Genomic DNA, 14,874 nt, shown 5'->3' with positions numbered 1-14,874 from the left:
TCTGTGAAATGAATGTGGTAATAATGGCATCTCTGTCTCTCTCTGTGGGCACAAATGGTTAATAGATGGGAAGTAATACGTGGCCTGACACACAGAAAGTGTTAGTTAATACCGTTATTATTAGAGCCAGTAAAGCAAAGAGAGAGAGAGGAGTTTAGTGGTGATCAACTTTTCCATCATGTTGCAATCTCAGAATCTAATTTCCAAAAAATAACATTTGAATTTGAAAAAAAAAAAATGGTGTTTCATGGGCAAGGGGGACCCCTGGGAAGTCCCAGATGGGAGAGCACCAACTTGTACCAAGGAAAGGGGCAAGATGGCCAGTCCCGTCCCAAGTGCCCCCTGGGAAGGGACTGGTCACTGATACCCTTGGACATCCCAGGAAAGGCTCCTATTTGCTACCCAGGCAGGGAGTTAAGTCATGGACAGTTTGAGACAAAGGAAAAAAGTCATCCTTCTGGTCACAATGAAGCCCAACCTGGAAAAACGAACAGGAAAGCCTGGTGGGGCCACCCTGGAGAGCCCAGCCCTCTGCCCACTCTCTCTTGGGACCAAGATGGGCCGACAGAAGGACCGCATGCATGTCTGCAGAACGGTGGCTGGGGCCGGCGGTCATAAATGTTTAATTACGTGATGTAAAGATCAAGGTCGTTCTTTCCTCTCGATGTGATTGCTGTAGGGCTCCTGTCCTCACACCAATTTCTTATTCATCATTTATTTTTATTGGAGGCTCTATGAACTGGACATCAAGAGCAAAGGCCGGGGAGTCCCAGCTTTTCATTTGTTCCTGCCACACCCATTCAGCAGCTGCAGAATGTCACCAGCCCTCAATTTGGCATCAAAGACCACTAACAAGCCTGGGCAACATGGCAAAACCCCGTCTCTACAAAAAATAGAAAAATCAGCCAGGCATGGTGGCGCGTGCCTGTCGTCCCAGCTACTCGGCAGGCTGAGGTGGGAGGACGGCTTGAGCTCAGGAGGTCAAGGCTGCAGTGAGCTGTGATTGCACCACTGCACTCTGTACTCCAGCCTGGGCAACAAAGCCAGACCCTGTCTCACAGGAAAAACAAAACAAACAAACAAACAAAAACCCACTAACAATTTGAGGCGAGGAGACATAGGGGTGCCATTTTGTGATGTGTGATGTGGTGCCATTTTTCTAACTCTTTTCCAGAAGACTTGGAAAAATGGTGCCACCTCTGTATTAACAGGTGCCAATCATGATCTTCCAAGGCTCTCCATGGGACCCACTTGTCTGCCTTGTTGGAGAGGAGGGGGCAAGGGTGACACCTTGTACATCTTACACCGGCAGGCCACTCTCTGGGGGCAGTGGAGACCCTACAGTGGGGAGCTCTGGGGGCGAGGTCTTAATCAATTGGAGTTGCAAGTAACAGAAATCCACTCAAGTTAGCTGAAGCAGAGAAGGGAACTGCTTGGGAGGATACTGAGTTATTTGGGAACCCAAGGCAAGTAAGACTCTCAGACAACTAGAGTGAATCCTGGAAAGGCACCAGGCCCTCTGGCAGTGCTTTCCGTCTATTTCCTCCTTCTCTGGACATGATTCCCGTCTCCCTCTGCAGCCAGGCCTCGCCTATTCCCTGTGGACATGGCCATCCCGTCAGCTTGGGGGGTCACCTCTCCTCTGTCCCAGAGCCCAGCTCAGGCTGTGCCTCACCATCTCCCACTTCTACTTCCTAGAGGGAGAATCGAATTGTCTGTTGGGAGCAGACGTCCACCTGCAGCTCAACTGAGTGACACCAAGGGAAGTTATCGGGCTGCACAAGCATGATGAAATAGTGCTGTGGGCTGGTGGGGTTGATCACAGCAGAGTCTGTGCAGTGTCTGTAGACACATCCAGAAAAAAGCCCCAAATTTAGTGGGACAACAGCTTTGGGTAAATAATCTACATCTAGGACTGAAGCCGACTGTCCTCACAGATCCCAGCCATCTCTGTGAAGGCCAACCTGACTTCCAACAGCCACACCTGTGTCTTTGCTGGAGGGCTGTCCCTGAGCTATCAGAACCCACACAGCACATGAGCATGGTGGCCCATGAGTGCCTAGGATTTAATATCCCCTGGGACAATGGCTAATAACAGCAAATGGGGATGGGGATATAAATACCCCAGATTTCTCGTCCTTGGCTGGGATGATTCAGAGCTGTTTCCCGGAGTTTTCCAGAGGGATTTTCCAATTGGCCATGTGGTAGCTGGCTTAATAACCTACACTGTATCAGCTCTCTTCCTTTCCCTGGATCATTTACCCATCTCTTTCCTATGTTTCTTGCACCTCTCAAATAGACTACCTGCCCTCAAAGCCTCAGCTCAAGGTTTGCTTCTGGGAACCCAAACTAAGTTAACAACCCCAAAGTTTGCAAAGAGGGACTCAGGAGTTACTGCTGTTCTCACAGGCTGTCGTGCATTCATCCATTTAGCCAGTGAATATATGTTGAGCATCTGCTGCCTGCTCGGTAACTCACTGACAAATGTGGGAGAGAAATAGGAAGGAACCAGGGAAGTCTATGCAGCAATAGAGGAGATGACTTTTTACAAGGAGAGCTTGGGAAGCCAAAGACTGAGCTGTGGTATTATTATTATTATTTGTTACTATTTGAGACAGGGTTTCCCTCTGTCACCCAAGCGGAGTACAGTGGCATAATCATGGCTCACTGCAGCCTCGACCTCCTGGGCTCTAGCAATCTTCTCACCTTGGCCTCCCAAAGTGCTGGGATTACAGGCATGAGCCACCACACCTGGTCAGTATTAGTTAACTATAAAAAACTATGAGTCACGTAGGAAAAGTGAACACCAAATTCCAGAATATGATGGGCACCCCCTTACTGTTTAGGTAATTTAGGGCAAATTAAAGGAAATTATTCATCCAACAGCCGACAACAAATTTATCCAACTCGTGTTACCCCACAAGAAGTAATACAGGCAGAAAATGTAAATAGATTTTTAAAAATAAATTAATGATGAGGGCTGTGAAATGCGAGTTCATTTTTTTCTTCTTTTTGATGACCTTCATGGAGGACTTTCTTTGGACCGGGCATTACGAGGGAAAAGAGATGAGTAAGGCAGATGTGACACAGAGATTTTGATGGAGGGACCCTGGGTGACCGGCAGACACTGTCTTTCGGGCTAAATGCAGTCACAGAAGTATCCAGGGGGAGGGATGGGCTTCAGGTTCAGCCCAGGACCTCAATCACAACAGCCATTGTCTCCTGCCCTCTCCTCAGCTCCCCTCTCCTCCTGGTTCTACCTAGCCATGGCCATATTCCCTCCTGTTACTCTGGGAGGAAGAGACGATGGTCTCTGGCAGCTATCAACTCAACCTCTCCAGCCCTGCGACCAGCAGGACTGGCACCACCCAACTTTGCTGCAAATCGAGAAACAAAAATCCCAGGGAAAGGCACTGATTGGCTGGCTTGGGTCACATGACCTCTCTGGCAGATGACATCATGCCCCATCCTGGTCCTCGCACCCTCACCTCCTACCGCCAGTACATGTGTTCCTCGGCATGAGCACTTTCGCTGTGCACGGGAACTTGTGGCAGGCTAGAATCAACGTGGGTCATGCCACTCAGCAGCAGCCTCAACCAATGATTTCACAGGCACAGGGGCACTCACGTCCCAGCTTTCTCACCTCTCTGGGGGACCCTGAGGTGTGCTCCACAGTGGCTCCCAGAGTCCCCTGTGGGATTGAGCTCCAGGGGCCCCCACTGGCGGCTGACTCCATAGTCCACCCTTGATGGGCTGCCTTTCCTAGCTCACATCCCCACTCTCCCCTGGTATTTCCTGGGATCATCTCTCAAGTAAACTACTTGCACCCACATCCTGTCTCAGAATCTGTTTGGGAGGGAATCCAACTTGAGACATCCGGCCATTGGAACAAGCCCATGGCTGTGGCCAGGGGATAGGGACCTTGTGACTGGCTAGCCTGCGTGACATGCTCCCTGCCAGGGTCACATAATCTGCGTGAGGGAGGAGCAGCTCCCCCAAGGAAGGGGGGCTCGGCAGAGAGAAGGGCAAGATAGATGGATCTAGAAGGACACACAGGAGACAGGCTCAGGGCTCTCCGGGCAGAGGATGGTGTGTGCAGGTTGGAGGCAGGAAAGCGCGGGTGTGAGAATCCCAGGATGGAGGCGAGGCTGGAGAGGTGGATGCCTGCAAATCATTTTAGACTCGAACCTTCACTAGAGTGAAACCTGCAAAGGAATTTAGACTCCAACCCACGGGGAACAGAGAATGAGGAGCCCCAGAAAGGCGAGGCTTCCATTTTGGACAGATCCTGGGGGATCTGTGGTGAGGGTGGCTTGGAGGAAGAGCTCCTGGCATCAAAGAGCATGACATCCCATCCCCCTGAACAGCATGCTTCCTCTGTGGGCACCTGGCGAGCCCCAGGCTGCCCAGAGAATGGCTTCACCCAGAGAGGCTTCATTTAGTGTGCAGCTCAGGGAGCAGCAGATACACAGGCCTGCTGAGGCTGTCTCAGGGACACCAGGACAGCCTACACCCTCCGTGTGCCACTCACTGCCTGAGTAACACACGGGAGGGAAATGGGAATGGCAAGTTCATCACCTATGGAAGCTTTACAGGAATCCTACATCCCATCCTCATGTCAACACGATGAGGTGGGGTCTGCAGGATCCCCATTTAGTCAAGGAGAAAACCGGGGTTCCAACGCATCAAACAAGTGCCAAGGACGGCACAGCAAGAGTCACCGAGGGAGTGAACCCAGCAGGCTCCAAAACCCGACCTTTTCACAATTCTGTCATGTGGTCATTCATTACTTGTAGGTCAGGTGCAGGCCTTTCTCTCCCAGCACCCCCTGAATCTATTCAAGTCCTGAGTTCCACCTGTGAGCTTTCTGCTAGAGATGAACACCTGCTCAGGCAATGAGGTGGTCAGAAGGGAGGTGTCCTCTTGAATTCTTTGGTTAGAAAGTACTGGAATATTCATGGAGGCTTTAGCCACAAGGCTTAGGATGGAAAAGCTTTTATGGTTTCAATAGTATAAAAAAAGTATCCTGGAATGCTCGTAAATCCTTCCTCCGAAGCCAAGGAAAGATCTAAAAAAGTGATGAGGCTGCCAAGTCATCAACACCCAGGGTGGCAGTTGGTGGCTGCCCTGGGACTCTAACGCCAGCTTCCCAAGTCTCCATCTCAGGGCCAGGTCCCTTCTACCACAAAAGTCCCCAGCAGTGGCACAGACGGCTCAAGTTGCCTCCCAATATCTTATCTGCTTTCTTCCTTAATAATAGGAAGATTCCTGACTTCTAAATGTGTGCACTGTCACTCAACTAAAGATGATACTCCCCTGCCTGCCTTGCAGCTTCTCCTGTCCATAGAAATAAGTTTTAGCCAAAGAGAAGTGAGTGGGACAGTTGTGTATGACTTCTAGGACATCTCTCTAAAGGGAGGAGGAGGTGTGTCCTTCATGTTCTCCTTCCTCCTTCCTACCTGGAATGAGGGTATGATGGCTGGAGCAAAGCAGCCACATTGGCCCATGAGGTGCCTTCGGAACAGAAGGCACAAATGGTGGGTCTTGAATCCCTGACACTGTAGGTCTCTATACCAGTCCCACTGCCTAGGTCAGACTTCTTCTACATAAAGGAGAGATACATTTATATCCCCATTTAGGTGAGGGAGAAGGGGAACGGTGTTTGTTACCCACAGTAGCTAAACCTGATACGCCTTTAGTTTAAAAGTGAAAATAGGCCAGGCATGGTGGCTCACACCTGGAATCCCAGCACTTTGGGAGGCTGAGGCAGGAAGATCACTCGAGGCCAGGAGTTCAAGAACAGCCTGGGCAATACAGCGAGACCCCATCTCTACACAAAAGAAATTAGCTGGACGTGGTGACATGCACCTGTTTCCAGGTAAATGACAGCATTCCCTTCGGTCTTCCCAGCTACTTGGAAGGCTGAGGTGGGAGGATTGCTTGAGGCTGGGAGGTTGAGGCTGCACTGAGCCATGATCCACTGCACTCTAGCCTGGGCAACAGAGTGGAAAAGAAAAGTGAAAATAGACCTAATGTTAGAACAAGGGAGTTTCTTTTTTGTTATTGCATCTTGGCTTTCTTTCCTTTGAATCCTCCATCTGGCACCTCTTCAACCTTGGGGGAAAACCACAGAACGGAAGGATGATTGCATCTCTACGAGAAGCTGGGGGCTCTACTGCGCGATGTCGTAAGAGACTTTTTGCCCAGGCCGCTTTGTAACCACCACCCCTGGACAGCCCAAGCTCATACCCAAAGCATACCTGGGTTCCCACCATCCCCTGAGTTCCTGCCCCTTTCATTTCTTCATCATCCAAGCTTAGGAGTCAGAGAACTAGGGTGATGACCTGGAGCGGGAATTCCTCAGAAAAATATCCCCTGGGCGGCTCCTTTGGCAAATGCTGCGGCTGTGACCACTTTCTCCCCTGGAGGACAGTCAGGAGGCTTCTCCAGAGGAGACGGCGCCCTGGGCTTCACCTCCAGGGTGCGGTTTCTGGAAGATTCTAAACCTGTCAGGCCAGGAAGAAGGCAGGCCTCTGGATGTTGCAGGTCCTGCAGATGGTGTCCCCGGCTTCAGGGTGTGTGCTGGATCCTGTGTGAGCCCAGATCCCTCCACACCAGGCCGGAACAGAATGGAAACTTATCCCGCCAAGCCCCTGGCGAGGACTCAGCAGTACCCACGCTGGGTCCCCAGGTCCCCTGTTGGGCGTGAACCCCAGCTCCAACACCTCCTGGCTTGAGACCCTGGAGACGTGCCTTGGTGTCTCTGCACCTCAGCGTTGCATCTGTAAAGTGGGAATGATAATAACACCCCTTCCTAACACTGTGTGCCAGGTGGGCTCACTATCGGAAGTTCTCGTCATTAGTAATCTCCCCTCCATCTTTGCTCTCCAAGTCGTCAACACTGTGGTCTCTATAAACGCTATGACTGCTATCACCCTGCCATGGGTTGCCCCACTCACCCCCACCCCAGAAAAAAAATTCAAATAAGTAGAGTTTCTGGTCAAAGCTTGATAAGCAGGTAAATGACAGCATTCCTTTCTCAGGACTGCCATACGAATTATCCCCAACTGGGTGAATTAAACCAGCAGAAATGTATTCACTCCTAGTTCTGAAGGCCAGAAGTGATGTCAAGATGCTGGCAGGGCTGTGCTCCCTCTGAAGGCTCTAGAGGAGGGTCCTCCCTGCCTCTGCCAGCTTTGTTGGTGACTGCAGACCCCTGGAGGTCCCTGGAGATCCCTGGAGACCCCTGGAGGTCCCTGGAGGTCCCTGGAGACCCCTGGAGGTCCCTGGAGGTCCCTGGAGACCCCTGGAGGTCCCTGGAGTTCCCTGGCTTCTGGCTGCACCACTCCAGTCTCTGCCCCCATGGTCACTGCATTTCTCTCCCCGTGTGTGTCTGTGTGTCTTCTTTTTTTTTTTTTTTTTTTTTTTTTTTTTTTGAGACGGAGTCTTGCTCTTGTTGCCCAGGCTGGAGTGCAATGGTACAATCTCAGCTCACAGCAACCTCCGCCTCCCGGGTTCAAGCAATTCTCCTGCCTCAGCTTCCCGAGTAGCTGGGATTACAGGCATGCACCACCACACCCAGCTAATTTTGTATTTTTAGTAGAGACGGGGTTTCTCCATGTTAGTCAGGCTGGTCTCGAACTCCTGACCTCAGGTGATCCGCCCACCTCGGCCTCCCAAAGTGCTGGGATTACAGGCGTGAGCCACTGTGCCTGGCCTGTGTCTTCTCTTATAGACACATAAATCATTAGGGCCTACCCAATTCCAGTGTGACTTCACCTTAACTAAATAAATCTGCAAGGACCCTATTTCCAAAACCACCTTCTGAGGATCCAAGCGGACGCGAATTTTGGGTGGCCAACACCCAATCCAGTACAACGAATTAAAATAAAATAGGTAAATGCTTGCGCACATAGTAAATATTAAGGTTTAACTAAAGATTAATTATCACTGACATTAACAACAATTGGATTTTTATTGCCAGGATAGACAATAACGGGGCCTGGCACCCAGCCTCCGCCCTACGCTGACCTCCACCATGAGCTGGCACTTGGTACTTGGGGTGGTACAGGAATTGGGACAGATGAAAACCCCAGAGATGTGTCCACTTAGGGAAGTGAGGACACAGAGCACCCGCCCCCGCAGAGCTAAGGGCTGGCCCATGGAGGAAGAGCTATCCCTCCCAGCATCCCCTCTGGGTGGAGCGCAGGGTTGGAGCCTGGGGCGGGGATGGAGCAGTAGAAAGGTTTGTCTCTGCAGGAGGGTGTGGCCATCCAGTGCTCTAGGAACAGGGAAGAAATTAGTGTCTGAAACAGACTCAGATGCCAGGTTAGCCCACATGAGGAGAGGCAGGTGTGTTGAAGGCAGGCACCAAGACGACCAGGGATTTGGGATCCCAGTGTCCCAGGGTCAGTCCCTCCCTCAGCGTCCTTCTGTGTCTTGCTCTGGAATACTGAGGTGGTTCCATTAGCTCACCCAGTTGGGGTCTATGTACACTTTTAAAAAATGGTCTCAGGCCGGGTGCAGTGGTTCACGCCTGTAATCCCAGCACTTTGGGAGGCCGAAGAGGGCAGATCACTTGAGGTCAGGAGTTCAAGACCCACCTGGCCAACATGGTGAAAACCTGTCTCTACTAAAAATAAAAAACCTTAGCTGGGCGTGGTGGCGCATGATTGTTATCCCAGCTACTTCGGAGGCTGAGGCAGGAGAATCTGGGAGGTGGAGGTTGCAGTGACCCGAGATCGCACAATTGCACTCCAGCCTGGGCAACAAGAGAGAACCTCCGCCTCAATTAAAAAAAAAAAAGGAAAAGAAAAGAAAGAAAGAAAAGGTCTCAGGCCGGGTGCAGTGGCGCACGCCTATAATCCCAGCACTTTGAGAGGCCAAGGCAAGAGGATCACTTGAGGCCAGGAGTTCAAGACCAGCCTGAGCGACATAGCAAGACGCTCATCCCTACAAAAAACAAAAAATTAGCCGGGCATGGTGGTGCATGCCTGTATTCCCAGCTAGTTGGGAGGCTGAGGCGAGGTGGGAAAATCACTTGAGCCCAGGAGGCAGAGATTGCAGTGAGCCGAGATCACACCACTGCACTCCAGCCTGGGTAACAGAGCAAGATTCTGTGTAAAAAAAAAAAAAAAAAAAAAAAAAAAAAAGAGTCTCATGGCCCGCCTGGCAGCAGAGGCCACCTTCACATGTGACAGTCTCAACTTACGCACCTTATCCACATGGGCTTGAGCACCTGCCCTGTGACAGGCCCCGTTCTGCAGAGCCACGCCACTCTGACACCCTTCCAGGTGCCCTCTCCACTCTCCAGCTCTTCCTTGACAGGGGGCTTGGCCCATTTCTCCGCCCTGCTAAGGGTCTGTGGAGGGCTGAATAATGGCACCCCGTCTAGGCCTGTTCCTGACTCCTGGAGCTTGCAAATGTGCCCTTACACGATGCATTTGCTCCTAGGGCGGCTGTAACTAAGTACCAGAAACAGGGGGCTTCAAACAACGCAAACGCATTTTCCCACAGTCCTGGAGGCCAGGAGTCCAAGATCAAGGTGTCGAAGGGGCCATGCTCTTCCCGAAGGGCCTAGGGAGGATCCATCTGCACATGTCTCAGCTTCTGGTGGCCGGCAATGCCTGATGTCCCGTCTGTGGCCATTCCAATCTCCGACTTCCTCTTCACATGGCCACCTTCCCGGTGCATCTGTGTCCAAACTTTCCTCTTCTTATGAAGACATCAGGCACTAGATTAGGGCCCATCCTAGTTGAGTGTGACATCATCTTAATGTGATTACATCTGCAGAGACCCTAGTTCCATATAAGGTCCCATTCTGAGGTCCCAGGTGGACATGGATTTTTGGGAAACGCGATTGGACCCAGCATTCATTGTAACGGGGCCTCTGCAGACGTGATTCTGCTAAGGGTGGTGACATGGGAAGAGCGGCCTGAATTCTCCTGTGGCCCCCACGGAATCACAAGCCTCCCTTGTAAGAGGGAGGCCAGAGGGTCAGCGTCAGAAGAGAAGGTGCTGTGATGATGGAAGCCGAGGTTGGAGTGATGCACTCTGAGGATGGACGAAGGGGCCATGAGCCCAGGAGTACAGGCAGCCTCTAGAAGCTGGAAAAGTCAAGGAGACGATTCTCCCCTGGAGGTTCCAGGAGCAACCAGCCCCGCCCACACCTTGACTTTAGCCCAGTGATGCCGATCTCAGACTTCTGACCTCCAGAACCGTAAGATGGGATACTTAAGCTGTTTCCAGCCGCCAACCTTGTGGTCACTTGTTACCGCAGCCATGGGAAACCAGATGCATCCATGAAGAGCTGTGTCTGTGACACGGCGTCGGCAGGGCTGCAGAACCGGGCTCCTGCGCCGCCCTTCCAGGGGAAACAGCCATGAATGAGCCCTCAGGCAGCCAACTGTTTCCCTGCAGAGCACCCGGGCCCGGCAGGCAGCCGGCTCCCAGACCACACACACTCCGCACAGTCCTGAGTCATCTGGCCTGAAGGTGCTTCCCTAGAGCCTCTTTACCGGAAATGGCCTGCGTTCGACCTGATTATTTTTCTAGCAATCGATGAACACTTCCCAGATGCAAAATTGGATAGCGGCCAGTTCCAGGCTGTGCATGGCCCAGGACGACCAATGCAAGAGCCTCCGGGGGGTTCTCTAGCCCGAGTGGTGTCACTGCATTCCCACTGTCCCCGAGCACCCACGGCATCACCGCCACCATCAGGGGAGCCTGAAGTGCCTGCAGAAGCTCTGGCCAGGCCCAGGGGGTGGACAGGAAGTCCAGTCATCCTCGGCATCCTGTGAACCGCTGCTTCTTGCATTTTTAATCTCGGCGGGTCCCACTTGCGTGTCTGAAAATGCAACTGCCTTATTTTCCCTAACAGGGCAGTTGAGGGGTGGGGTAGTACTTAACCTTGACAACAGGACATCTCTTGGTTTCTTTTTTTTTTTTTCTGAGTCGGAGCCTCACTCTGTCACCCAGACTGGAGTGCAGTGGTGCAATCTCAGCTCACTGCAACCTCCGCCTTCGGGGCTCAAGTGATTCTCCTGCCTCAGCCTCCCCAGTATTTGGGATTACAGGCATGTGCCACCATGCCCGGCTAATTTTTGTATTTTTAGTAGAGACGGGGTTTTATCATGTTGGCCAGACTGGTTTCAAACCCCTGATGTCAAGCGATCTGCCTGCCTCAGACTCCCGAAGTACTGGGATTACAGGCTTGTACCACCATGCCTGGCTAATTTTTGTATTTTTAGTAGAGATGGGGTTTCACCGTGTTGGCCAGGCTGGTTTCAAACTCCTGACCTCAAGTGATCCGCCTGCCTCTGCCTCCCAAAGTGCTGCTTACAGGTGTGAGCCACCATGCTCAGCCTCAGTCTCTCTATATCATCTCTGTTAATTTGCAGTGGTCTCTGCAGCAACTAGCCCACCCATGTGCACTCAGAGCCACTCAGGGCCCTCGCTCTTTCCCTCCTTCCTCTCCTCTCCCCCTAGATGAGTGGGAAGGAAGTTTAGGGACTTCACGGTTTTGCAGAGAGGCAAAGACGGAGCCCACCCACCGATCTTTTTACATGACAGGAGCCGTGATTAATTTCCCGGGGATGTCCTAATAAACTGCTGCAAACTGGGTGGCTAGCAATAGAGATGTGTTCTCTCCCGGTTCCGGAGGCCAGCGGTCTGAAATCAAAGCGTCTGCAGAGTGGAGAGAGGGAAGATCCTTCCTGCCTCTTCCAGCTTCCAGGGGCCCCAGGTGTTCCTTGGCTTGTGGCCGCATCACTCCCATCGCTGCCTCTGTCCTCGCGTAGCCTTCTTCTCTTCTTATACGGACATTCATGGTTGCACTTAGGGCACACATGGTCATCCAGGATGGCCTCATCTCAAGACCTTCTATTGATTACAGCAAAGATACTTTTTCTTTCTTTTTTTTTTTTTTTTTTTGAGACAGAGTCTCACTCTGTTGCCCAGGCTGGAGTGCGGTGGCCTGATCTCGGCTCACTGCAACCTCCGCCTCCCAGGTTCAAGTGATTCTCCTGCCTCAGCCTCCCGAATAGCTGGGACTACGGGCGTGCGCCACCACGCCCAGCTAATTTTTGTATTTTTAGTAGAGGCGGGGTTTCACCATGTTGGCCAGGATGATCTCAATCTCTTGACCTTGTGGTCCACTCACTTCGGCCTCCCAAAGGGCTGGGATTACAGGCGTGAGCCATCGCAGCCAGCCTATTTATTTATTTATTTATTTATTTTAGATGTGGTCTCGCTCCATCACCCAGGTTGGAGTGCGGTGGTGTGATCTCGGGTCACTGCAACCTCCGCCTCCTGGGTTCAAGCGATTCTCGTGCCTCAGCCTCCCGAGTAGCTGGGATTACAAATGTGCACCACCAAGTCCGGCTAACTTTTGTATTTTTAGTAGAGGTGGGGTTTCACCATGTTGGCCAGGCTGATCTCGAACTCCTGACCTCAGATGATTCACCTGTGTCGGCCTCTCAAAGTGCTGGGATTACAGGCATGAACCACCGTGCCCAGCCAGATTCTTTTTCCAAATAAGGTCACATTCACGGGTTCTGGGCATCAGGGCTTGGATATATCATTCTGGGGGCCACCAGTTAACCCACTCCAGCAAGCTTGGACATACCGGGCCACATCGGCCTACAGGGCTTGGGGAGTCACCCAGGCTGGGGCTGCTCCACTGTGCACGAGGGCTGTCCTCCACCTTGCACTGGAGGGAGCTGCCTCGTAACACGTTCGCTCTCAGCCTCCTCCTTAATCTGCCTCCTCCCTTGACTCCAGGGTCCCGACCAGGGGCAGAAGCTCTTTTTCACCTGTCCGCTCACCTTGCTGGAGCTGGGAGGGAGGATTTTCCACCTTCTTATGTTTGGGGTGTTCCTTCCATGAGGCACTGGGTTTTCCATCCCCTCTGGCTGATAATAAGTTTGAAGTTCAATAGGCCTGACCTTTTTTTTTCTTTTAAATTTCTCACTGACTTTGTTGTTTTTTTGTTTTTGTTTTTCTTTTTGTTTTTGTTTTGAGACGGAGTCTCGCTCTGTCACCCAGGCTGGAGTGCAGTGGTGCAATCTTGGCTCACTGCAAGCTCCGCCTCCTGGGTCCACGCCATTCTCCTGCCTCAGCCTCCGGAGTAGCTGGGACTACAGGCGCCCGCCACCATGCCCGGCTAATTTTTTTGTATTTTTAGTAGAGACAGGGTTTCACCGTGTTAGCCAGGATGGTCTCGATCTACTGACCTCATGATCCGCCTGCTTCGGCCTCCCAAAGTGCTGGGATTACAGGCGTGAGCCACCGCGCCTGGCCCTTTTTTCACTGACTTTGTAAAACAATCGTTTTTTTAAAAAAAACTTTTAATTTCCAGGGTACATGTGCAGGATGTGCAGGTTTGTTACTTAGGTAAACGTGTGTCACGAGGGTTTGTTGTACAGACTATTTCGTCACTCAGGTATTAAGCCCAGTATCCATGAGTTCTTCTTCCTGATCCCCTCCCCGCTCCCACCCTCCACCCTCCGACAGGCCCCAGTGGGTGGTGTTCCCTTCTATGCGTCCATGTCTTCTCATCGTTTAACTCCCACTTATCAGTGAGAACGTGCGGTATTTGGTTTTCGGTTCCTGCGTGAGTTTGCCAAGGACCACGGGCCTGACTCTTGATGCAAAAGGGGTGCAAAGGATGTGGGCAACCCCGTTCCCCTCTTCATTCCTTCCCAGGGCTCTGGTCTCACTGAGAACTCTAAAAGCTAAACAAGTTGCTTTCCTGCTGAGGTTCTGCTAAGCTTTCCTAGTCCCCCGAGGCAGGTAGGGGCTCCAGCTGAGGAGGAAAAAGGTCGGCTAGCCAGAAATTCAAATGACGGAAAGACATCCCTGTGTTCTAAGAAATAGGATCCCCTGACGTCCACCGACCTGGGCAATGTCACCAATAGGAGGCCTCAGAAGCACTTTTAACATCAACCTTACAGGGGGTGGGGTTTATACACAAGCACGTGTACCCATTTAAGTGGACAGCTGGATGAGGAACAGATGTCTATACCCGCCCAACTACCACCATGATACAGAATGTTCCCATCACGCCCATCTGCGTCCCACCTCCCCCAGCAACCATGGATCTGCTTTCTGTTGCTTTGCTGTAGACTTGCTTGCCTGTTCAAGAATATTCTGTAACTGGAAGCATACGGCATGGTCGAGGACTCCTTTTTTTTTTTTTTTTTTTTGAGATAGGGTCTCGCCCTGTTACCCAGGCTGGAGTGCAGTGGCGTGATCTCAGCTCACTGCAACTTCCGCCTCCCAGATTCAAGCGATTCTCCTGCCCCAGCCTCCTGAGTAGCTGGGACTACAGGCAAGTGCCACCACGCCCGGCTCATTTTTGTATTTTTAGTAGAGATGGGGTTTCACCATGTTGGTCAGGCTGGTCTCGAACTCCTGACCTCGTGAACCACCCACCTCGGCCTCCCAAAGTGCTGGAATTACAGGCACGAGCCACCACGCCCAGCCAGTCGAGGATTCTTGACTCCTCTCTTCCCTTCCTGCTCCCCTGAAACTCGTCCCACACCTGGTCCACTTGACGCAGGTAGAAGCCACATCAGTCCCTCCTTTCTCCTGCAGCCCATCCGCCATTTTGGTTGGGGGCTCTGGACTCACCCTATGGGGAGGCGCTGTGGCCCAGTGGCCAGCTGCCCACCTCCTGGGTTTGGATCCTAGCCCACCATTTCCTCACTTGAGACGCTGGGCATGTTCCTCAGGCTCTCCAGGGCTCAGCTTTCCTCATCTGGGGAATGGGGCTGAGAACATCAACCTCCGTGCTTCAGGAGCAAACAACAACACTAAAAGTTCTGGCTGGGTGCGGTGGCTCACACCTATAATCCCAGCACTTTGGGAGTCCGA

The 14,874-nt window shown here is 52.0% G+C and overlaps 6 annotated features.

The window, feature by feature from the left end:
- Positions 5,995-6,154: an enhancer, noted in NCBI's record as "active region_11256". NCBI's record gives its function as "activates an Ori minimal core promoter by ATAC-STARR-seq in GM12878 lymphoblastoid cells {active_cell/tissue: GM12878}" and the evidence as "EXISTENCE:reporter gene assay evidence [ECO:0000049][PMID:35858748]".
- Positions 10,038-10,614: an enhancer, noted in NCBI's record as "H3K27ac-H3K4me1 hESC enhancer chr16:84840201-84840777 (GRCh37/hg19 assembly coordinates)". NCBI's record gives its function as "activates a minimal SCP1, AML or CMV promoter by ChIP-STARR-seq in primed H9 embryonic stem cells {active_cell/tissue: H9 hESC(primed)}" and the evidence as "EXISTENCE:reporter gene assay evidence [ECO:0000049][PMID:30033119]".
- Positions 10,038-10,653: a biological region, named in NCBI's record as "H3K27ac-H3K4me1 hESC enhancer GRCh37_chr16:84840201-84840777".
- Positions 10,454-10,653: a silencer, noted in NCBI's record as "fragment chr16:84840162-84840361 (GRCh37/hg19 assembly coordinates)". NCBI's record gives its function as "represses an EF-1alpha promoter that drives an FKBP-Casp9 reporter gene in an ReSE screen in K562 erythroleukemia cells {active_cell/tissue: K562}" and the evidence as "EXISTENCE:reporter gene assay evidence [ECO:0000049][PMID:32094911]".
- Positions 10,615-11,193: an enhancer, noted in NCBI's record as "H3K27ac-H3K4me1 hESC enhancer chr16:84839622-84840200 (GRCh37/hg19 assembly coordinates)". NCBI's record gives its function as "activates a minimal SCP1, AML or CMV promoter by ChIP-STARR-seq in primed H9 embryonic stem cells {active_cell/tissue: H9 hESC(primed)}" and the evidence as "EXISTENCE:reporter gene assay evidence [ECO:0000049][PMID:30033119]".
- Positions 12,361-12,861: an enhancer, noted in NCBI's record as "H3K4me1 hESC enhancer chr16:84837954-84838454 (GRCh37/hg19 assembly coordinates)". NCBI's record gives its function as "activates a minimal SCP1, AML or CMV promoter by ChIP-STARR-seq in naive and primed H9 embryonic stem cells {active_cell/tissue: H9 hESC(naive and primed)}" and the evidence as "EXISTENCE:reporter gene assay evidence [ECO:0000049][PMID:30033119]".

The sequence above is a fragment of the Homo sapiens genome, chromosome 16, assembly GCF_000001405.40.
Source record: "Homo sapiens chromosome 16, GRCh38.p14 Primary Assembly".
In the NCBI taxonomy this organism is placed as follows: domain Eukaryota; kingdom Metazoa; phylum Chordata; class Mammalia; order Primates; family Hominidae; genus Homo; species Homo sapiens.
The sequence above is the reverse complement of the archived record's forward strand: the minus strand, read 5'-3'. Positions and strand labels throughout refer to the sequence as shown.